General features: G+C 35.4%; 1 long non-coding RNA gene across 1 annotated transcript in view; it reads right to left on the bottom strand.

The window, feature by feature from the left end:
* Positions 1 to 24,715, bottom strand: part of LOC101929485 (uncharacterized) — a 254,397-nt gene that overhangs the window by 10,272 nt on the left and 219,410 nt on the right. The window contains exon 12 of the long non-coding RNA XR_007095992.1: positions 17,913 to 17,993. This is a non-coding gene — a long non-coding RNA (uncharacterized LOC101929485). The remainder of the gene's footprint in view (positions 1 to 17,912; positions 17,994 to 24,715) is intronic.

The raw sequence follows: 24,715 nt of genomic DNA on the forward strand, positions 1-24,715 counted from the left end.
GGATACATTACAGAACAAGGTGTTACTTGGAGAACTTACAGTTCTAGTGAGGATGGTCAAGTTGAAAAAGTAATTATAACAGTTAAAACATAATTAAAAGTGATTGTATTCATTTTCTAAGACTTCCATAAAAAGTGCCACAAACTGGTGACTTACACAGAAATTTATTCTCTCATTGTTCTGGAGACTAGAAATCTGAAGTCAAGGTGTCGGCAGTGCCATGGTCTCTCTGAATACCCAGAGAAAAATTTTCCCTCCCTATTCTTAGCTTTTGGTGGCTCCTGACAATTACTGGGGTTCATTAGCTTGCAGCTGCTTCACTCCAATCTCTGCGTTCATCTTCACATGGACTCCTCTCTGTTTTTCTGTGTGTCCTCTCCTCATATAAGAATACCATTCACTGGATTTAAGTTCCATCCTAATCTAATATGACCTCATCTTGATTTAATTACATCTGTAAAGACCCTATTACCAAATAAGGTCACATTCTGAGATTCTGGATGGACATAAGTTTTGGGAGGACACTGTTCAACCTGTTATACAGGTATATATTTATTTTTAGGAGGAAAACATCTTTGGCTATAATTAGGGAGATACTTATAAAATATGAGGATCCCTTCCTAAATAATATAAAGCAACAATTTTAGATAAAGAGACCAAAGAAATAACCTGAATATTTAATAAATGAGGAAACAGCACAGAGCGTTGAGTTATTGGATGAACCTCATACAATTTAATATGGAGAGTTTTGGCTTTTAGAAATAATTATCTTGGAAATATGAACTTGCAATGGTTCACTATTAGGTGCTTTTAACAATGCTTACTGGTTATGCATTGAAAATTTTCGTCTGTACAGATATAAGACCCAAATCTTATTTCAGGCAATAATTGCTATGTTATTGTCTTAATGTCTTAATTAAAACCACTGAAAATATCGCCTCTCACTGACTGGTAGAGATGATAACGAGCTATGAAATATTACACATTCAGGCAGAAGAAACATGAACTAACTTTACCAACAAATCAGGTAAATAATCCTGGATCCTGGATTCCCGGGTTTTTGCTTAGAATAGCTTCAACCAGGAAAGCTACCTGACTGGGACTGTGCTGGGATGTGAGCAAGAAATAAACTTTTATTGTGTAAAGCTATTAAAATCTTGAGGTTATTTGCTATGATACTTAGTGTTAATTACCCTAATACCTTGACTTTTGGGACTTCAAGAGAACTTATAGATTAGTTGATTTACTACTTTCATTTTATAATGAAAGAGAGAGAACATGTCCAAAATCACTCAAATAATTAGTAGTTCATCAGTATAACTGGGGCTGTAGTCAAAAAATCATTCTCTAGTTGTTTGCTTCAGAAATCCAGTAGAAATGACAAAGTCTTAGAATAAAAATTATTCTATAAATACATTTCTTTTTATATCAGAATTTGACACTATAGCCTAACCACTTGGAGACATTCTTTGAACAATGTTAACTCTGGGTCAAGAAGAGAATTAATTAGAGTGTCGAAAGAAGACACTGAGCTAAAAGTGATTAGATGTGAATTTGATGCCAGGTGGAATTTGAAAGGAAATGAAAAGAGGAAGACAGACACCGAGTTTTTTCTGGGGAAGGTTGTCAGTTGTCAGTAATCAGCAGAAGAGAAAAGGAACATATTCAGGTCACCTGGAGACACATCTCTCCGGAAACTGAGGCATAATGGAATGTCCAGAGTGGCCAGGGTTATGGGAAAATTGGGGATAAATATTAGGTAGAATGGCAGTTCTAAAACTAAAAATTGAAAAAGTGCAACGTTAACAGCCATCTAAAGGAGCTATGGATAAGTTAGGTAAACAAATAAATAAAGTTTTTTGTTTGTTTTCTTTTTTCCTTTTTTTTTTTTTTTTTTTGAGATGGAGTCTCACTCTGTTGCCCAGGCTGGAGTGCAGTGGCACGATCTTGGCTCACTGCAACCTCCATCTCCCGGGTTCAAGTGATTCTCCTGCCTCAGCCTTCTGAGTAGCTGGGACTACAGGTACGCACTACCATGCCCAGCTAATTTTTGTATTTTTAGTGGAGATGGGATTTCACCATGCTGGCCAGGCTGGTCTTGAACTCCTGACCTCGTGACCCACCCACCTCGGCCTCCCAAAGTGCTGGGATTACAGGCATGAGCCACTGCACCCAGCCACAAATAATAAAGTTTTGAGAAGGGAATTGAATGAATTAAAACAGAGAAGAAAGTATATTTCACTTTGCAGCAAAAGCTTTTATGTGCAGTGAGAAATGCAACAGCAATTGGAAAGATTAGCAAATCTCTATTTCTTAGGATTAAAAAGCTAAATTTTCTTTAGGTGAAGAGGTGAAGCGAATAGGAAAAATATGAGGAACTTCATGTTCACAGAGGGAGAACCTTAATTAAACCAATATTCAATCCATTTAAAAATCATTTCAAACATAATTCCAAACTTTGATGCTTGGTCTTCTATTTAGTTTTTGCAAAAGAGTAACCTTTTTTTTTTTTTTTTTAATCTGATTCCCTGGGTAGTCCTACTAAAAGGAATTACTGTAAACCTACATTCATCACCATGCATAACATAAGGTTTCTATTTAGAAAAGAAAAAAGTCAGCACTTTTATTTAAAGTGGCTTTTAAAAATCCACAATAGTTTTGTTTAAGTTTTTAGGGAATGTTTTTAGGGAAACTCAATATTTCTTAAGACTCTAAAGTAAAAAAAAAAAAAAAAAAGTTTTGAAGTCAAAGCAGAAGCAAGTTTCTTATCACCACTCATAATAAAAGAGTCACAACCTTCAGCCCAAACAGCAGTTATGTTTAGTTTTTGTTTTAAACATTAACAGTGAAGTTTGCCTGAGACTAATTTTGCATAAAAAATGTTGTCTCCTTAATAAATTTAGAAGTAATTTGCTTGCTAATTAAGTATAGCCTTTCAGATTACAAATAGTTAATGGAAATGTTTCACCTTCTCACCACACTCTCAGCTTTTCAACTTACTGTATACCCATACACACTGCAGTGAGTGCTGGTTGTTGTTGATGATGGCAGTGATGGTGAATATTTCACATTCTGTTTTCTTTGGGTAACAACAACCCAGCTTCCATAGGAATCAACTATTTCTCACTCCATTTGATTTTCTTTGTGTTACCAATCATAGTGGGGATTTAACCAACCAATCCCAACACTTCATCCTCCTGACCACAGAATTTGCTTCAGAGAAAGTCATACGACCCAAGTTACACAAATTGGAGTGATTATCTGGCATTTTATATGAACACTAAGGAAAGCTTTTTCTTTGCCTTTAAACCATGATGTGATTCCAGAGCTTCTGGTGACCATAACCCTGTCACACAGAGGAAATCCTGAAAAAATTCTCAAGTAGCTGGCTTAATCATGGCTTTTTTTCTCTTCGTTTCAATTTAAAATATATTGAGTGCCTATTTTATGCAAGATGCTAGGCTAGAGACAGTAAGAGGCTGAAAGATAAATATGATATTACATCTTTGTTAAGCTTTCCATCTACTTAATAGCCTGCAATATTTCAATCATCATAGTTTATTCCGCAGATTCTAAATAGAATGTATTTTCTTCCAGCTATTTGATAACTCTGAAAATATAGTGGTGAGAAAACAGACATGCTCCCTCACCTCATGGAGCTTATAGTTTATGAACAGAAAGACATTAATTAAATAGCTATGGGAATATATAGTTATAAATTATGATAAATATTCTGAGACAAATCTAACATATTTGAATACTTAAAGAAGAATCCACTTGAGATTTGATAGTGGAATGTGTTGTGGTGGTAATATAGTGAGACTTGAAAGCTAATGCTGGAACAAGGGAAGGCCTAAACCCTTAATGCTACTACTGGGCCCTCAAGAGAAATATGACACTGTGACACTAGAATAGGAATGCTGCCTTTGACTTAAATGTTCAAGGTCTCCACTACCGTTCTCAGTCATCCTCCTTGAAACTCCCTGGTAGCCTAAATAAAAGAAGCAACAGAGGTTGGTATAGAGGAGCTATTGGGACACATCCTGGAAGTCAGTGTAAAGTGGACTGAAACAGCAATGGTCCCTACATTTCTGGGACACTCTCCACCCCCCCACCATGGGGAGGGGCAATTGCTTCTGGCTGACTGATGGTGAGGAATTTTTAATATTAATAAATTATTCAATGAAAAGAATGAGATAATTTTTCACAAGTGTAATTTAACTATAATCCTGCAAGACAGTGTTTGAATAAACGAAACTTGAGGGAGCAGAAAAGATGGGTCTACTCGACATATTTTGCCATCTGCTGCAACTTTGCTGGGAAGAATTTTCTGCCATCAAAGTATTGGGTCTGGTATAGGTCCTAACATGAGGTTAGTGCTCTGTCATTGCTTTGAATGAATGAAAGATTGCAATGTGAAACAATTCACATGTTTGTGTTCAGCAGCTTTGCCTAAGTTCTAGGTAGAATGACTTTTTATCCTAATATATTATTATTGGTCGTTTCTCCATTAATGTCTCTTCATCAATTCCTTTCAGAAAAAAATATATTTGATTCTATCGACTTCTTTCTTTATTTGAAAAAAACTGTATTATTATAAAGTAAAAATCTTAACTATATTTCTAGCTCAGAAAGTTTGTAGTTCTGTGACTAGCATCTTTTAAACATCCCACTGTTGCTACAGAGGAATTTTACTAACCACAATTCCTACTTTAAGAACTAATAGAGACAGTTAGTGATGACAAGTATCAAGTTCATTTCCAGAAGTGTGTGGTTATTTACTGTTCACTATTCAGCATGTGGAAAACTTTGGTGGAGTTCTTCCTGAGGAATTGGAAAAGACATCAAAGAGGAATTAAAAGTACTCAAAGACTTGGGTTCAAGGACATCAAATAGTCAAAGATTAGAGAAATGCCATTCTAAAGAGGAGGCAAATTAATAAAATTACATGCAAAGAAAAGAGTTTTGATTTTTAAAGATCTTTAAAGCTATAGTGTGAGCATTTCAAAATTATTTTTAATGAATTTTCAAATTAACTATTTCAAAGGCGATCTACTCTCCAACAGTTTATATCAATTTCTATCAGCAGACTATAATCTAGAGAACGCTCATATGGTAAGCAAAGATTCCTTGTTAGAGAATATTTCTTTGAATTACCAACTGGTGAAAGTTTGCTATAATTGGAGACAGCAGAGAGGGAAAAGTAATAACTTCAAATGAAAATTCTAGCTTGAAGGAAAGTTGATTGAGTTAAATTATGAAATGTTCAGTTATTTGTGGGCATAGGTTTCTTTTCTGATTATAAGGTCCATATTTCTGCTCTTTATAATCATCTATAGCTCCTTTCATGATTCCTTGTTTATGTTTTAAAAGCTTCAGGAAGAAATGCAAGCAGAGTGTGTAAGGAAAAGAATTAAATTCAAAAGAAAAATAAAACATATTAAATAATTTAAAGTAATATAAAATGAAGCAAATAAAATTTTAAAGGCAACAAGTTATGCCATTTGATTTATTAGAAACTAAAGAAAGAAGACTGGAAAGAATAAAGGGAGAATGGATGAATAGGTATACAAGTATTTATCAGTCCATCCATCCATTCATTTATCCATCCATCCATTCATTCATTTGACTCCAAACTGTCTGCACCCCAGATTCATATTTCCAGATACTTTTTGGACAATTCCATCAAGACTTTACAGCTTTCTGTTTCTCAGTAAGTTGAAAGCACTAACATTCACTTAATTTCCCAGGATTACAAACTCAGACTCATTCTTTATTTGACCTTCTTGTCTGCTACTCATACAAAATTATCAAGTCATACTGATTCTACATTTGAAAAGTCTCATTTGTTTTCCCTTTTTGGGGACATGTCATAGATCATCTTGCATGGATTACTGCAATAGAATTGTAACTGTCTCCTGATTTTACTTCTTGGAGCACTTCCAATTCATCTTATTTATTGATGCTCAATGTATTTTTCTTTATTTTTAAGAAATAATTCTTTCAAATACACAAGATATTATACAATATAGCATAACAGAGAACAATATTTAAAAATTGTTAGTATTTTGCAATGTTTGTTTTACACATTTTAATTATTTTAATTTTTTAGGACATAAAATACTACTGCTAACAGCTGAAGACACTTTTGTACCCCTTCCCTGTTTTCATTTCTTTCGCACCCTTTTCAAACAAACTGAGTGCCCTAAGGTTGGCATGTACCTTCCCAACCATTAAAAATAATTGTATCATGTATGTACACATTCAAAGCAATATTTTGTATAGTTTTTGTATTTTAAAATAAAAAGGCATGGTATAATACCAGGCGTATTCTTCTGCATCTTGCTTTCCTTATTCAACATTACTTTACATTACTTCAACATTTTTTCATTCAACATGATATGATGTATTCCTGTTGATACAATTAATTTGAAATTTTGTGTACTGCTCTATCTTCCCATATTTCCTAATATTTATTTTTTAAGATTTTAGTTTCAGCTTGTTAGTAATCATTACCTCTTCCCAATTGGTTATTATTAGTATTATTAATAGTGTTAGTGGCAGTATAAGTAGTACGAGTGCCAGTCAGTGCTTGTTTAAATTTATAAACGTCTTCATCAGTTTCTTTGCTCATTTCTTCTTGCATCCTACTGTGTTTTTATGACAGGTTCCTTGCTAATAAAGTCTATTTATTAAATAGTAAACTCTCAGAGTCTTTGACTAAAAGCATCATTTAACTTCTTGATTGAGTCCACAGAAATGAGTGGAGTTCAAAGTTTACCTTGGCACCAGATATTATTTTATCCTTCTCTGGAAACTTTTACTTTTAGCCAAATTATTATTTTTGTATATAGCTGTCTTAGTCTTCTCAGGCTGCTATCACAAATCACCATAGACTGGGTAGCTTATAAACAACAGAAATTTATTTCTCACTGTTCCAGAGGCTGGGAAGTCCAGGATCAAGCTGCTGGCAGACATAGTGTTTGGCAAGGGCACATTCCTCATAGGTGGTTCCTTCTTGCTGCATCTTCACAGGGTGAAGGGGCTAGACAGCTCTCTGGAGTCTCTTTTGTGAAGGTACTAATCTCATTCATGAAAGCAAAGCCCGCATGACTTAATCACCTTTGAAAGACCTCAGCTTCTAATACTATTATATTAGGGATTATGTTTCAATGTATAAATTTTAGGAGATGCAACTATTCAGGCCATTGCAGTATCCTGTAATTTTTTTGAATTATTTTAAAGATTTCTATGTGATTAATGATCTATATTTCTTAAACTCAAAAAAATCTGGGCCTTTATTTTGTTGAATATTGCCTCTCACTCTTTGACTTTATTACGGAACTGTATTAGACATATGTTACTGAATCTATCATTTTGACTCAAAACTTCTTTTCAGGTCACCTCTAACTTAACTTCTGAGTTACATTTTGTATGATTTTTTTTTCAAGTTCATCTTTTCCTGGCTTATTGTCTTAACGGAATTTACCATCTAACAGTCTATAAAATGTACTTACTGTCTTTGTAATTACTTATAATTTCAGGGGCTGTATTTCTTAATGTTGACTTTGTTCCTAACTTAAAACTACCTACCCTTCTTTTATACCCTTAGTGTTTCCATTGTGATTTCTATTTTTTAAATCTTCTTAATCATTTACCACTTGGGTATTAATATTATCATTTAGTTTATAAATTATTATTTCCAATTCTTGGGTGCTAGTCTCCCTCTCTGTTGCTTTCACAAACTTTCCTTCATAGTGGGTAGTTTCCTCTTTTATTATATAATTTTTTAATGTGAGCTAATCCTTAGTGGGATTCTTTGTACTCTAGGAAATCTAAAGTGTTCTGACGTATGAGAGGGTTTCTGTAAAGTGGTTTATTTCCTCTGTGGCTTTAGGAATTTCAGTGGTATGGTAGGCATTATTCATAGATGGCCCTTATGAGCTTTGTGTCTTAATATTACCCCATGATTCTGTTATATTACATGGTCATGATGGTCAACTTTAGGTGCAAACTTGGCTAGGCTATAGTCCCCAGTTATTCAATTTAATAATAATCTAAGTATGCCTGTGAAGTATATACCAAACAGTATCTGAGACAGATCTCGACCAATTTAGAAGTTTATTTTGCAAAGGTTAAAAATTGATGTGGACTGGCTCTGTGTCCCCAGCTAAATCTCATCTTGAATTGTAATCTGAATTGTAATCCCTACATGTTGGAGGTGGGACCTCATGGGAGCTGATCAGATCATGGGGGCTGCTGCCCCATGCTGTTCCCATGATAGTGAGTGAGTTCTCACAAGATGGTTTTATAAGAGGATATTTCCCTGTTTGTATTCATTTCTCTCTCCTGCCACCCTGTGAAGAGGTGCTTTCTGTCATGATTTTAAGTTTCCTGAAGCCTCCCAAGCCATGAGGAACTGTGAGTCAATTAAACCTCTTTTCTTTATAAATTGCCCAGTCTCGGGTATTTCTTCATAGCAGTGTGAGAACGGGCTAATAGAAAGATGATGACCTATGAACCTCAGGTGGTCCTAAGAACAAGTGTTTGAGGTGGTTGGGTTACAGCTTGATTATATACATTTTAGGGATATGTAAGTTACAAGCAAAGACATAAATTAATACATGTAAGCTATACATCGGTTTGGCCCAAAAAGGCAAAGGGTGGAGCAGGGGAAGGAGTGTGCTTCCAAGTGGATTTCAAGGTTTCCTGACTGGTAATTTGTTGAAAACATTGAACTTTTCCTGAAAAGGTGAAATCAGCTTGAGTTACAGTAAGGGTGGTGGTGGTGGGGACTGTGCAAGCCAAGGTTCTTGTCATGTAGATGAAGCCTCCTGGTAGCAGGCTTCATAGAGAATAGATGCGAATGTCTGCTAGGGAAGTTGTTATACTTTAGGAAAGACCTAGTAAGGGAAGGAGATTCTCTACAGAATGAAAAATGTCCCTATAAGAGACAGCTTTGCCCTGCTATTTCACAACATGTCAAAGAAATATATCTTGGGGTAAAATATTTTTATTTCCTTTTAGGGCTTGTTATCTGTCATTTGATGTTATATCAGAGTCACGTTGGAGTTCGTATCTTATTGCTACAGAATCTGTTCTGTCAGTCTTAGGATCTCTATTTTAATGTTAATGCTAGTCTGTTGTGCCTGAACTCCAAAATGGGGAGAGGCATTAGGACTTCAACATACAAATTTTGGGACACAGTTTATCCCATGATGGAGATACTGGATGATCACTTGTCAGGATGTTGTCCAGAGGCTACTTCTCATGAAAAGTAGATTTTAAAAAAGGCTACTAATACTAGGAATCTATGATTCAACACTCCTAAAAACCACAATGGAAAGTTTCATATAAAAGAATATTCTTTATAATTTTAGAAGGGTCAAACTTTAAGTTTCCTAAACCCTATTTACTCTCAATTAGTATCTCCTCATAACTTCCAAGCTATTTCTTATCTGTTAAATCTGGACAGAAACTTTTGATACATATGGAGGGGATATAACACGTAACTATCTGCTTTATTATTTTAATGATAATTCAAATGTTACATGTTTTTCAAATATTATTGTGAGTCAAATGATTCAATCTAAAATAACTTTTTAGAGATAAATGTACATGAATAAGTACATTTTAAGTAAAATTAAGCTTATTATAACTTACTTATTTTAGATTGTTTATAGTTAAGATTTTAGAATTGTCTTTATTTAATACTTTTAGGGTTAGCCTGAGGCTTCTCTAGGTCGGGGAGCCTCAAGAAAGAATGGAAAAGAAATAATGAAGCAGAAGTGGTCTGTGTTTTTTACAGAAAAAAAAAACAACAAGATAAGTTGCTATCTTGAAACTTCCAAGCTAAACAACATAATTATAAGAAAAATCAGGATCAGGTGGTAGAATGAGAGTACAGTTTCACAGTCAAATAAATTCCTTGGAGACAGATACTTCAGCTTTAAGTAGTCTTCCAATCTGACAAAGGCAATACAGGGAATATAGTGTATATTACATAATACCCCTTCTAAGCCTAGGATACTGCCCTATAACTAAAGATAATGGAATACAAAATATAAATATTAATACTAAGCAGATAAATGAAGAATATGCATGTCTTTTATAAGTTAAGGTGATGTTTCAATGCTTAATTAAGTTCAAGTTAGTCAGATTTTACCATCAAAATACACTAAAATAAATTTAAAGATTTTGAAGCTCTTGGATTTCAGAATTTTTAATATGCAATTATGGACTGGCATAAACATTCAGTGAGCTGTGTATTTAGTGGGGAAAAGATGAGATCCTGAAAATCAGGGTAAAATGTGTGATTCTTCCATAAATATCAAAGAACATCTTGACAATAGGGCTTTCCAAATAACTATAAATTTGTTTAAGGAACTTAACTGGACACATCCCTTTCATGTAGCATTTGCACTGGCTTTTTAAAACCTGTACATTTATAATTCCATCTGAGTAGGAACATATTTTACCACTATTAGCACTAAATAAATATTGTGATGTCAAAAGGTAACCAAACCCCCAAATTGTTGGCCATGTGCTGCCTCACAGATCCCCTGACTTCTGTTTTCCTTTGGGAGAAGAGCAATGTTTGTCAGTAATTGGACACTGTCATTCTAAAGGGGTCCTAAGCCCACAGATGCCACCATAGCTGGGAGGAATCTGATTTGCAACTTAACTAAAACAAAGTCATTTACTTCTTTTGTTGCTCTGCAAAGGCAATTAGAAGCAGAGCAGCAGCTGCATATAATAGTAGAATAAGGCTGAATGAGGAGTGTGTGTGTACGTGTGCTTTGCATTTTAAAGCAGGTATAAATAAGCACTCTTTTCATCTTTTCATTTATTTTAATTCTCTCAAAGAAGCCAGAGTTAGGAACTTTGGAAAAGAACAGGGAGAACCTTGTAAGAGAGCTTATTTGTCATCAATCTCTGCTTTTCATTTCTGTCGGTTTTAATTCCAGGATGCATTCCCATGACTTAAGTGATCCTTCACTCTAGTTCTGTGTTTAGGATTTTTGCAATGACAAAGAGCTTAAATATACCACATCTTGATCCTCTGCTAACAACATTTGTCACAATTAAAACAAACATTTACTTCTTGTGCTAAATGGTTTTCCTGACAATCTCTGGCCTTGTTCCATCTTTGCTATCTGTTCTCCTGAGGCTGTTTTCCTTAATCTAACTAAACCAACTGAGAGATCAAGGATTGGGGCTTGTTTAAGTAAAGAAGATAGAAACACCTTTCTATTAAAACTGCTTTTGAAACAAACTCCATCCTTTAATTTTACTTTAATAGTTTCTCCTACCACCTATGTTTTCAGTTAAAAAAAGCTTCCTTGTCATCCTCATAAGTGACAAACGGTTAAAATTACTGATGGCAACAGCAATGCGCTGGATAGTAGTTAATTATGCTCTCGTACATGTCTTTCATTAAGGTGCTGTTTTCTTCACCAGAGTCCTCAATAAAGCATTTCTCAAAGGGCCCTTTAGGAATCTGTGCAAGAAGGAACAGTCTATCAGGGAGCTCCAGGCGGGATGCAGAGCTGAAGCCTGTGAGGCGGTATTATTGAGCCTGAGTAATGCAAGCTGACAAGGCCTGATCAATGGGATTCTCTGGGGGTATAGTCTGACAAATGCAGGCTCCATGACAAGCATAGTTTTCTAAACAATGTGAGGCTTTATTTACTGGTTCATTGGTTATGAAAAAGACTTAGTCCAGAAGAAGAATTGGGATTTAATGAAGAAATTGTCCCCAGTAGTTGAAAGCAATATGACTTGATGGTATTATCAATGATGGGCTTATTGGTATTCATACTTTTCATCCTATGGCATCAGTAAAATCTCTGGCTAAAAAGCATTACTAAGGAATTGCCTAGTGGCAAATTTGGGTGAGAAGAGTCATATTTCTGGACTTGGCATCTTTGTGTTTGCCAAGGTATGCCAAAGGTGAAAACTAGCACCGTCCAATGGCTTTGAAGCTTTGGCTTCTAAAATATGTTCCATTATAATAGTCTTGACTATGATGTTTTGTATCTTCACTTTAGAGCAGTCTTTCTTTACTTTACTGTTTTGTAATATTCCATATCTAATGAAAATAACTTTAAAATAAAATTTGGAAAGGAGTACTCTTTACTTGGTTTTTACTACATTGGAAACTACATCTTTGAAACTAGTTACATTGTTTTTCCTAGATGAGATATGTTTAGTAACAGAAAGAGGAGGCTTTTAAAGTAAGATCTTCAGAGATAATGCAGTTCTTGTTGAGAGAGATTGAGAAGCACCTATATAACATGAAGTGACAGTTAGTACACAGGATTTTAATCTCAGTCTTCTGTTCCTCTGGTCTAAACAACTGACAATAACCCATAACAAGTATATGTAAGAAAACAGTTCTTTCAGACTATTGCCTTGTCCCACATCATTTATGTTAGGATGGCAGCTTCTTAACTTTTAGGTCCGTGTTACTAAGCTTTTAGAATGATTGAAGTTTTTCGAATCATAGGTTTCGTTATCACCTAGCATACTTTGAAAATTGTTGGCCGTGTTTCCATAATGTTACGGCTCTCTGTTAACCTTTGTGATTCATCCACGTCTGCTAGTGGCTCAACTATATTGTGTTATTATTGTTATTTTTATTATTCTTATTGGTAGAATGACAGAGGAAGAGTCATGTTCGAAATCTCTATCTCCTTGGAGAATGAGAAGGAAAGAGATATCCAATTATCAAGAGATATGGAAGCCATGATGTTTTCTATGCAACACTATTCAGTATAATCACCTTTCTTATTCACTTCACCCTGAATTCCCTATAGTCAAAAGAAGGATTGGCACCACTTCGATTAATATTTAAATTTAATACACTATCTTCAAGTCAATCCCATGCTTGGAGTAATGTATTCTTCTGATAGATGCATAGCTTTTGTCCAAAACAACTCCTTAATTTGCTTTAAAATCAACCAGTACTTTGTCACAATTTTCAAATTCTTTTTTTGCTTCTATTGTGAGGCCCTATTAGTATCTGCAAGAACTTCTTAAAATGTGAAGATGACTATAATCATAACATTTCTTTATGAAGTTCAAATTCCACAAATTCTTTCATTAATATCACTGAATTCATGTCCTATAATAGCTAAAAGGAGAGGGTTTTTAGTCCACAAATACAGAGAAGTAAAATGTAGAAAATGAGTGAGTTTACAAAGAAAATTCATATAGATTAGATTAAGTACACTGATTAATCTACAAATCCACCTTAAGTTCTCTCAGACCTGAATTTAAGCCTTTTGACTTCCAAACAAGTATTTTATTATGCAGTTTATCCTAAATTCTCCCTAATGACAATAAAATCTTTGAGTCTTGAAAAAAGCATGAAATTAGAATTCAGTGTTTGCATTACCATTTCAGCCTTTCTCTTCACTTCTGTCTAATAGTGTAGAAGGTTTGGCAACTTCTCTGGGCTTGTCTAATGACTGGTTTCTCTTGGCATTTAGCCCTGTTGGTCTCACTTTATTTACTTATGCAGAATATCCCAGATAAAGGAAGATTATTTGAGAACTTTACAATAAATAAATGAATTTTTAAGTGCCTACAATAATTTCTAAATCAAAGCTTTCTTTTATAAGTCACTGATAAAAGAAATACATCAGGCCAATTTAAAAGAGGAAAAGTAATGTCAATATAGAAATTTTATGCACATGTTTGTGTGTGTGAGGGACCAGATAAGATAAAGAAATGATAATCTCTAGATGAAATATTTCTGCAGTCAAATCATTTGCTTTTCTTTCTGATAGTAGTTCTCACAAATTTAAATAGTTTTCTTTTTCTTTCTGATGGACTAAAGATATCTCAGGAGTTCATATGAAGGACAAAAACAAAACAAAACCTGTATATCTCAAACTGCTCCCAAGGAAACCACTGTGTGACTTTATGTTAATTTCCCTGTTTTATTATATGTTGCCATGATGTTCAAATAAAACCTTTCGAGTCGAAGACTTGAAGTACAGAAATATAATGTGAAGATGGAAATATAATCACCAAATTCGTGACAGTATCTACATTATCTGGAATTAAACACACACACATACACACACACACAAACACACACACAACACATATCCACCGATAATCATTCTTTTCAGATTTTAAAACTTTTCCCTTCTACCAAAATTATTACTTTTGCTAAGTGCCCAAATGATTATATGAGTTATAATATGAGTTAAAATGGTTATATGAGTTAAAATATTTGGAGAAAGAAAATTTGCTTGAAAATGCAGAAAATTTTTAGATTTTGCCACAACTAAGCTCTTTAAAAGAATGTATTTACTCTGTCTCTCTCTGGACTTGCATGAAGAACCAAAACTTAGTAAATGTAGGGGCACGTGAACTTTTTATATAACTATGAGATCACAGAATATAGTTGCTTCTTATTTTTTTCTAAAATGTGTAGCTCAGAGACATCCTGATTAACAAAAATAATCCACACTTAAGACATGTAGATTTTTTTGTTGACTTGTTAGTCCTGATGAAAAATTGATAAACAGATAACTGAATATACACACATGCATACACATGTAAAATAATTTCAATATGTTATTTGTTTACTGATTACCTCTTGGACCAAATGATTCCAAAAGGACTCAGTCTTAGTATTTTTGGCATCTGAGATTAATTATTTATTATTTATATATTTATAATTATTTATTATTATTATTATTGTTTTACACTCAGAGCCATTACAAGGTTGTGAAACTTCACAAACTATCATAACAGTGTGCGTGCTGTATATATAACTATGCTGCATATTCCTTAGTATTTCAGTATAGAAAACAAAATCAATTTTAATCATGTGCTATATATTTTGCTGGTGTGAACTTGTGCAAATAGGAAGAGGGGCAGTAAGCAATGGCTGAAACCACAGTAATGGCTAAGAGGTTGTGACGGTGCAAAATAATGTGCAAAGTGAAATAAAATTTACATCTAGACGATTTCGGCAATTTCTACTTTAAAAATCATCATTGCTTCGGCAGGGAGGAATGATATGCTATTTTGGACGCTTTTCTCTTCTTTCACTTTAACTTCTTCTAGGCACAGATTCTGCTCCTTTGACAGCAGCGCAGCGCTCATTATGTACTGAAAGTCATCAAGTGGAGGTTAGGAGAGTGGAAGCCTGTTCCCTGAAGCAATTTGTTTCAGCAATGTGCTAGAGCATAGTTCACAATTATCTTTAATATGAATGAGAAGCTGGAGGCTCTTGAATAGGCAGATGGAGTTCTGTTTTTTCCCCCAAGACCATAAACTTGTCTGCCTCTTTTTTCAAAGTACATTCATCATCTTGGTTGCTATTTTGTTTAACCTTGTTCTGCCATTCTTTCCTATTACTCTGCTTAGTTTATCCATTCTGGGTTAGCTAATTGGCTTTGCTTAGCCCTCCTTTTCACACATTTCCATTCCATTCCAGATGTGATTCAAGTCCCATTAGCTCCTACTTCATTTAAACCAACATAGGGCTCATGGGACTGGTAGGGCTGTTGGAGACAGGTGCAACTGGCCAGATGGCTGACTTGCCAGGAGGGTGGAGCAGACCAAGCAGGTCCCCTGCTAAATTCAGACTGTCAGGCTGAGACAGCTAAAAGGGTTAGCAGAGGGTTACACCTCGATTTAATTGTTATAGTTCTTCTCTTATTGGCCCCTCTTTAGAATCCAAATGCATATTATTTTCAGGCTTAAAGCCAACTTAAGAAACAACCAAGTTGCTTATAAAATATTAGGTATCCACCATTATAATGTGTGCTGCCAAGACACTGCTTGGTTCTATTTCGAAAAAAGGAAGTTAAGACCAGTTAGAGAAATTATTTGGGTGCTAACCTTCCTCTGTGAGCAGCTATTTCTATGCCGTATTTGCTATTCCTCTAAGACTCTCACTCTTTTGAACTCAGAGGGCACCACTCTGAACCTTGAATTGGCTGTCTTGTATTGGCCAGTGCATTAGTCTGTTTTCACGCTGCTGATAAAGGCACACTCAAGACTGGGTAATTTGTACAGGAAAAAGCATTTAATGGACTTACAGTTCCACGTGGCTAGGGAAGCCTCACAATCATGGCAGAAGGCAAACATGAATGGCAGCAGGCATAGAGAGAGAGCTTGTGCAGCGGAACTCCTCATTTTAAAACCATCAGATCTTGTGAGACTTATCCACTCTCCCAAGGACAGCACGGGAAAGATTTGCCCCCATGATTCTATTACCTCTCACTGGGTCCCTTCCACAACATGTGTGAATTCAGGATGAAATTTGGGTGGGGACGCAGCCAAACCATATCAGCCAAGCATGCAAAATGGAGAATCATGTGGATCTTGACCACTACCAATTCATGATATCCAATCAACAACATACTGGCCTAATTATTTTTCATTATTTTTTGCCAGAATATTATACAAGGTGTCTTAAGAATCACTATCAAATCTAGATTCTACCCACTTTGCTTTTGCAAAGATGACTGGAAATTCATTTCCTTGTTGTCCATTGGCACATATTACTCTATATTAACTTCCTTTCACGTGCCTCTAACAATATTGTATATTTAAGGGACATCCTTAGCTTGTAATTTCCAATTCACATTATTTGTTTTTACTTCAATTCCCATTTTTGCTGAACTTGGAGCAACGAACAGTGTTAAACCCCTCAACGTGGAGATCTTATTTTTCTACTTGATTTTTGAAACAACATATTTTTGGTTTCTATTGCATATTCTGGCTCCATCTTCTTTTTCTTTTTCTTAGTATATTCTCTACACTGTGTGTTGCTCAAGTATCTCTTCTACCCTCTGGAGTTATCTCTATTTGTTTTTCCACAATAAACTGGCCCTTTTGCATCCCACAATGACTTTTTACGGTGACTCCCTATCTTTGGCTCAAGTCCCAAATACTTATCTCAATCACAGGTTTTTATTATATTAATATATGATTTTAGGATTGGTAGATTTCAAAACCAGCATTATGGTCTTCTTACTTCTATGAGATCAAAGGCTATTATTTTTTATTTCATTTATTCCACAATATCTTGTTAATCTCCCCATCATTTTTTTGTTTTTTTTACAAAAATATGCTTTTATTTCTCTACTTTCTTAGTTCCACTGCTAAGTATTCTGGTCTAAGTGTTCATTAACACATATTTGAAATATTGCAAAGGATTCTACCTAAAAATAATTGATACAGAGGACAACAGAAGCTAGGTATCATTCACTATTTACTGTGTGGTAGATTTTTTTTTAGTTGATTCATGCATGTTGTCATTTGGTTGCCACAATATCCTTATGAAGTAACCATTTTATAGATAAGAACATTGAGGCATACAGAGGTTATGCAGCGTGCCTGGTATTATAGAACTAATGTAAGATGTAACTTGAGCCCAGGATTTCTGAGAACAGCTATGTTATAATGCCCCTATTTTCCTTCTTTCTCTCCTCTAATTATGATAATGTGGTTTCAGACCAATACAGGACATTCCCGGGCTTAATAGCTTCCAAAAACAATTCCTTTTTTTCTTTCTTTTTTTTTTTTTTTTTTTTTTTTAGACGGAGTCTCGCTCTTGTTGCCCAGGCTGGAGTGCAGTGGCACAATCTTGGCTCACCACAACCTCCTCCTCCGGGGTTCAGGCAATTCTCCTGCCTCAGCCTCCTGAGTAGCTGGGATTACAGGTGCCCACCACCATGCCCAGCTAATTTTGTACTTATTTTTAGTAGAGATGGGGTTTCACCATGTTGGCCAGGCTGGTTTCAAACTTCGTGACCTCTGGTGATCCGCCTGCCTCGGCCTCCCAAAGTGTTGGGATTACAGGCGTGAGCCACTGCACCCGGCCCAAAAACAATTCTTAAATACTATTAACACAAATCAATATGCACCTATCTTCCCACCTGACTCTTGGGGTTTTCTTCCTACTTTTTTCATCCTTTCCTTGGAATTTTGATATCAGTTATCCCTCCTGCACTCTGGGTCTTAAAGGAGAAAAACAGATCAGTATTTAAAGGGAACACATTATGAGGGATAAATTTTCCCCAATAAAGGATCTTTGTATGAAAGCTTATGGCTAAAGAAGTTATATTTTTTATCTTGACTTCATCAGTTATTGCACTAGCCTGCCCCACTGCCATACTTCCAATTTATTTTTACTCTATATTAATCTTCCTATGTCACCAACTTTTTATGTCATTCTGTTTTGTTTTGTTTCTTAAAGGTGCCTCTTTCCCTGCTTCTTGAAGGATAAGAATGCTGGCCTATCATTCAAAACCATTGGCTAACTATGTATAACTTTACTTTTATTATTCTTGCTGTATGTACTTTCCACTTCAACCAGAGTATTGTCATTACCTCATTAATGTTCCCTTGTTCCCTCCAGTCCCTATGCCTGGTAAGATCTCATCTTTGTATTTTGAAATTTTACCCATTTTCCAAAAGCCAGATCATGGCTTTTATGCTCCTCAGCTCGTAACCAAAAATTAGGTCTTTCATTTCTCTGCTCTCAATGTACCCATACTTCTCTTATTGCATTTATCATATGCTGATTTGAATTTTTGTTTTCTCTTTATACACTTTTCTTAGTGTTCCTGGTGGACTGTAAAATATTAATATAAGGGGTCGGCATCACATACTACTTTGCATTTTCTAATAGTAATGGACTCCTTATAGTATGTGCTCAGTTAAGATTTATTTTTAATACTATACCTAATAAAGGATATCATTCTTACCTCAGCTTATAAGGTGCTTTGATGAAAATTCCAAACCCACCATCAGCATGATGGTAACAGCTATCAATTAAGATATGCCAGAGACAATACTGGCATTCTGTATAGTCTTTAATTTCACTCTTCAAACTACCCGGCATTGTAGGTATCATGACTCTTATTTTATAGGTGAACTAAGGTTCAAGGCATCTTGTTCAGGATCCAGATAGTAAATGTTGGAGTTAACTATAAAATTCAACTGTGCCTTACTGGTCTCCAAAATCAAATTCTTATTTTAAATATTCCTATACAACCATTTTTAATAAAACTCATTGAAATGTCTCTTAGGCTGCTTCATTCTTTTATGTTCCCACTATACAGAGAAAAACTGGGGGCACCCTCATCAATAGATATGTTGATTTTCAGACTGTGTTCTTAAGTGATTTGCTTCCACTTGAAATCCCCCTCACTAGGCACTATTTCCTATTCATGGTTGCCTGACTCATTTACCTTAAAATGTTCTCCTGTCATCACATTTTTCCCAGTCAGCTAGTTATAAAATGTTTGAATAATGTTTTTGATCATCAATTTTGTATCTCTAAAATGGGAATAATGACATAGTCTATCTCATAAAGTTGCAAGTATCAAATGGATGCTTACAAAGCAGGGCTCTGCTCACAGAGTAAGCATTTAATACATTTTAGTTATTTTTTATTTAAAGCACATTTTAAAAGAGAATAGCCATGTATAACCTCATTTTACAGAGAAAGGAAATGAGATGCAGACAAGAGATTTGTCTCAAATCAACCAGAGGTTAGAATCAGGTCTAAGAATATACTCTGACCCCATTACTCCCAATACTGATACTTTTTATAATATGCAAAATTATTTGACTTACCTTCTACCCACTTTTCCCCCTTATCTGTCATCATGTATCTTTTGTTTGCCCAAGGTCTGTTTTCTCACCATCCACTCTAAGCAATGTGCTCATTGGTACAATTTAATTTTTGCTGTTTCAGTTTTGAAAAGTCCTCTTAAACTCTTCCTAGTTATTAACGTTGTCCAACCCACAGGTCCTTTTCAAATAACACTCACTCATATGTTTTCCACAAAAGCCTCAGGTCACACCTACTTGTTCCTCCCTGACTTTCTCTCATGTTTACTTTGTCTATAATATTATGCATTTATTATACCTTGCTTGTCCTATAAATGTCTCATAGTGTGTGGTACTGATTTTAGTTTTACAGAAGGAAGTATTAACATACATAACTGGTTAAAGCTGAAGGAGCTATAACTGCACTGCTTTGCTGAGACTTTTTCACTGTTATCATGGCAAGACTTGGTTTGCTATCCCATGTGTTATGTTGGAGTACACTGTGGAACAGGCAAATTTGTGCTTCTAAGCTTTTATACAAATGTATGAAAAATATTTTTTCAATAATGCTTTTTGCAACTGTTCAAAAGTCAGACTTTAAGTTCAGAGTTGTCATCAACTCTACCGCTAAAACTCAATTTATTATCTTTACTAATTTGCTATTTCTCTAGAGATTTGTGTAATGCTGAAACATGAAAATATTTGTTCTACAAAATATACTTTCCAAAGTGCCTAAGATAGTGGACAGAGATTTTCTAGAATTTTTCCTTTCCTGTTTCATTGTACTGCCCCAATTTCTCTTTCTTATTTTATCTTTTCCCGACACAGTAGAAGAGTTTTATAGACTACTCTGGAGTTTAGGGCAACTTACACCTAAAGTAGTGAAACAAAAATCCCCCATTTCCATGCACAATTCATCTCTCTGATAGCTTTAATCAATCTCTTTGATCATACTCAGGTGAGGTTTGCTGCTTAACTGTTTTATGCTATCCATGGGTCAACTCAAGACGACATTGTCCACAGAAGTCTAAGGAATGTGTAACAGGAAGTCAACATTGTTATTCCTATGGTGATATGGCTTGGCTCTGTGTCCCCACCTAAATCTCATCTTGAATTGTAATAATCCCCATGTGTCAAGGGTGGGACCAGGAGAAGATAATTGAATCATGGGGGCATTTTCCCCCATGCTGTTCTTGTGATAGTGAGTTCATTCTCAGGAGATCTGACGGTTTTATAAGGGCCTTCCCCCTTCGCTCTGCATTAATTCTCTCTCCTGCCACCCCGCGAAGAGGTCTTTTCTGCCATGAATGTAAGTTTCCTGAGGCCTCCCCAGCCATGCAGAACTGTGAGTCAATGAAATGTCTTTTCTTTATAAATTACACAGTCTTGGGTATTTTTTCATTGGCGCATGAGAATGGACTAGTACATATGGTGAAATATATTCCATCTTCCATTTATAGATTCATTGTTTTAATTTATTAACTCTTGTGAGAAAATGTTCATTTATTTTTATTTTCTGCCAATATTAGCTCTGGGAATAAGCAAGCAATTCTTCAAGTTTTGGATAATAGTTTAAATATTAGCATTGTCTTTGGGTGGTAGTATCATGATTAGTTTTTTTTAACATATCATATAGTATTTAAAAAATTAATATGAAGTACTTTTATCATCAGAACAAAACTACTTTAATTTCTACTAAAAAAAGACTTTTCAGAGTTATCTATTTAAAGTAGTATTTCAACTTATACTTTTAAAATGTATCACAACTGTTTCTCTTTGTTCCGATATTTTTAAAGGTATTTTCTGTTGCAATGTTCAATATATTGATCTTTGATAAAGTTACTCATCTTTGTCACTTTTAGTCATAGCAGGATAATAATAATTGGAACATTTAAATAGAGATACTTTCATATACACACTTTTTAATTTTTTAATTTTTAATTTTTGTAAGTACATAGTAGGCATATATATTTATGGGTTATGTAATATAGGCATGTAATGTGTAATAATCACATCAGGGTAAATAAGGTATCAAGTATTTATCACGTCAAGCATTGATCCTTTGTGTTAAAAACAATCCAATTATTCTTTCAGTTATGTTCAAATGCACAATTAAATTATTTTTGACTATAGTCACCCTGTCATACTGGTAAATGCTAAGTCTTATTTAGTCTTTCTAACTATAATTTTGTATTCATTAACCGTCCCCACTTTCCCACCATTGCACCCCTCCACTACCCTTTCCAGCATCTGGTAACCATCATTCTACTCTCTATCTCCATGAGTTCAGTTGTTTTAATTTTTAGCTCTCACAAATAAGTGAGAACATGTGAAGTTTGTCTTTCTCTGCCTAGCTTATTTTACTTAATAGAATGGCCTCCAGTTCCATCCACGTTGTTGCAAATAACAGGATCTCATTCTTTTTCATGGCTGAATAGTACTCCATTGTGTATATGTACTATATTTTCTTTACCCATTTATCTGTTGATAGACACTTAGGTTGCTTCCAAATCTTGGCTTTTATGAATAATGTTGCAATAAACATGGGAGTGTGGATATCTCTTTGATATACTGCTCTCTGTTCTTTTGGGTGTATACCTAGGAATGGGATTGCTGGATCATAGAGTTTTTTTGAGGAATCTTGAAACTGTTCTCCATAGTGGCTGTACTAATTTACATTTCCACCAACAGTGTATGAGGCTTCTCTTTTTCTCCACATCCTCACCAGCATTTGTTATTGACTAGCTTTTGAATAAAAGCCATTTTAACTAGAATGAGATCATATCTCAATGTGGTTTTTATTTGCATTTCTCTGATGATCAATGGTGTCGAGCATCTTTTCATATACCTGTTTGCCACTTGTATGTCTTCTTTAGAGAAATGTCTAATTTAGATAATTTTAGAATCAGATTATTACATAATTTTTCTACAGAGTGGTTTGAGCTTTTATATATTCTGGTTATTGATTCTTTGTCAGATGAATAGTTTGCAAATGTTTTCTCCCATTCTGTGAGTTGTCTCTTTTTTGATTGATTCCTTTTCTATGCAAGAAGCTTTTTAACTTGATGTGATCCCATTTTTCCATTTTTGCTTTGGTTGCCTATGCTTATGGGGTGTCAATCAAGAAATCTTTGTCAAGACCAATGACCTGGAGAGTTTCCCCAATGTTTTCTTTTAGCAGTTTCATAGTTTAAGGTATTATATTTAAGTCTTTAATCCATCTTGAGTTAACTTTTGTGTATGGTGAGAGGTAGAGATCCAGTTTTATTCTTCTGCATATGAATATTCAGATATCCTAGCACCATTTATTGAAGAAACTGCTCTTTCCCCAATGTATGTTCTTGGCACCCTTGTCAAAAATGAGTTCACTGTGGATGTATGGATTTATTTCTGGGTTCTGCATTCTGTTCTGTTGGTCTTTGTGTCTGTTTTTATGCCGGTACCATGCTGTTCTTGTTTTGATAGCTCTGGAGTATAATTTGAAGTCATTTGATGTAATTGCTCCAGTTTTGTTCTTTTGCTTAGGATATCTTTGGCTATTCTGAGTCTTTTGTGGTTCCATATAAATTGTATAATAGTTTTTATGTGTCTGTGAAGAAGGTCATGAATATTTTGATAGGGATTGCAATAAATTTGTAGATTCCTTTGGGTAGTATGGATATTTTAACAACATTGAGTTTTCCAATTCATAAACATGGAATATCTTTCCATTTTTATGTCTTCTTCAATTTCTTGCATCAGTGTTTTCTATAGCTTTAATTGTAGAGATCTTTTACTTCCTTGTTTATGGTAATTCCTAGGTATTTTATTTTATTTGTAGCTATTGTAAATGGCATTTCTTGATTTCTTCTTCATGCTGTTCATTATTGGCTATTGATTTTTCTATGTTGATTTTATATCCTGAAACTTTCCTGAATTTTTGTATCAGTTCTAATAGCTTTTGGTGGAATCTTTAGGCTTTTCAGAATATAAGATTATATTATGTCCAAACAAGGATATTTTGACTTCTTTGTTTCCAATTCGAATGCCCTCTATTTACCATTCTTGCCTGATTGCTCTAGCGAGAACTTACAGTACTATTTTGAATAACAGAGATGAAAGTGGGCAGGATAGTGGGCTCTCCTTTGGTCCAGGGCAGGTCAAGAAATCCTGTCTAAGAACCAAGGATTCCATAACCCCAAGATCTTCCTTGGTGTTTTACCCACACCTCTCCCCCGTTCCCCTCCCCTCTGCATCTGAGCTGGTATCTAAAGTGCAAGACAAAGTCTTTACTTTTTTCTCTCAAGCTGAATGAAGAGTCTCTCATGCTAGTTCCCACAGCTGGGAATGTGCTGGATCTCACCTGAAGCCAGTACATCTCAGAGTCTCACCCAAGTCCCATGCCATACACCTGATTATTATTGCTCTTTATTCAAGGCTCAAAGGCACTTTTGTCAGCAGGTAATGAATCCTGCCATGACTGGGTCCTCCCCTTAAAGGCAGCAGGTTTCTTTCTGGCCCAGAGTATGTCTAGAAATGTCATCCAGAGCTAGAACATGGAATGGGGGTCTCATGTCTCTGCCTAGTGCCCTATCCTACTGTGGCTGAGCTGGTATCCAAGATGCAAGACAAAGTCCTCTTTACTCTTCCCTCTCCTTTCCTCATATGAAAGGAAAGGATCTCTTTTGGAAGTGCTAGCTGTGCTACCTGTGTTTGTGGGAGGGGTGGTGCAAGCTCTCTGTTAGCCACTCCAGCTAGTGACTAAGTAGGTCACATGCTCCCCAGGTCCACTGGCTCTGAGTCCAGCTTGGCACTAGGATTTGCCTAGGAGTTGCAGTCCTTGTGGCCTAGACTGCCTTTCAAGTTTATTTAGTGCCCCACAGCCATTTACCCTGCAGTGGAAAGGCTTGCTAGAACTCAAATTCCTACTGCTGTGGTGGGCAGTTTCCTTCTGGATAGGGCTGGTCTTAATGCCCCCTCTGTGGGCAGACATCAGCTGAGTTCAGCCCAGTTTTGATTTCTGTTGTGACAGGGCAGCACTTAGTTCAAGGCAAAGTCACAATCGCTGCGCTCTCCCGCCTGCTCTTAACCACACAGACTTTCTCTCTGTGCCACACGGCTGCTGCCAGGGGATAGGGGAGCA

Source organism: Homo sapiens, chromosome 3, assembly GCF_000001405.40.
Source record: "Homo sapiens chromosome 3, GRCh38.p14 Primary Assembly".
Lineage (NCBI taxonomy): Eukaryota > Metazoa > Chordata > Mammalia > Primates > Hominidae > Homo > Homo sapiens.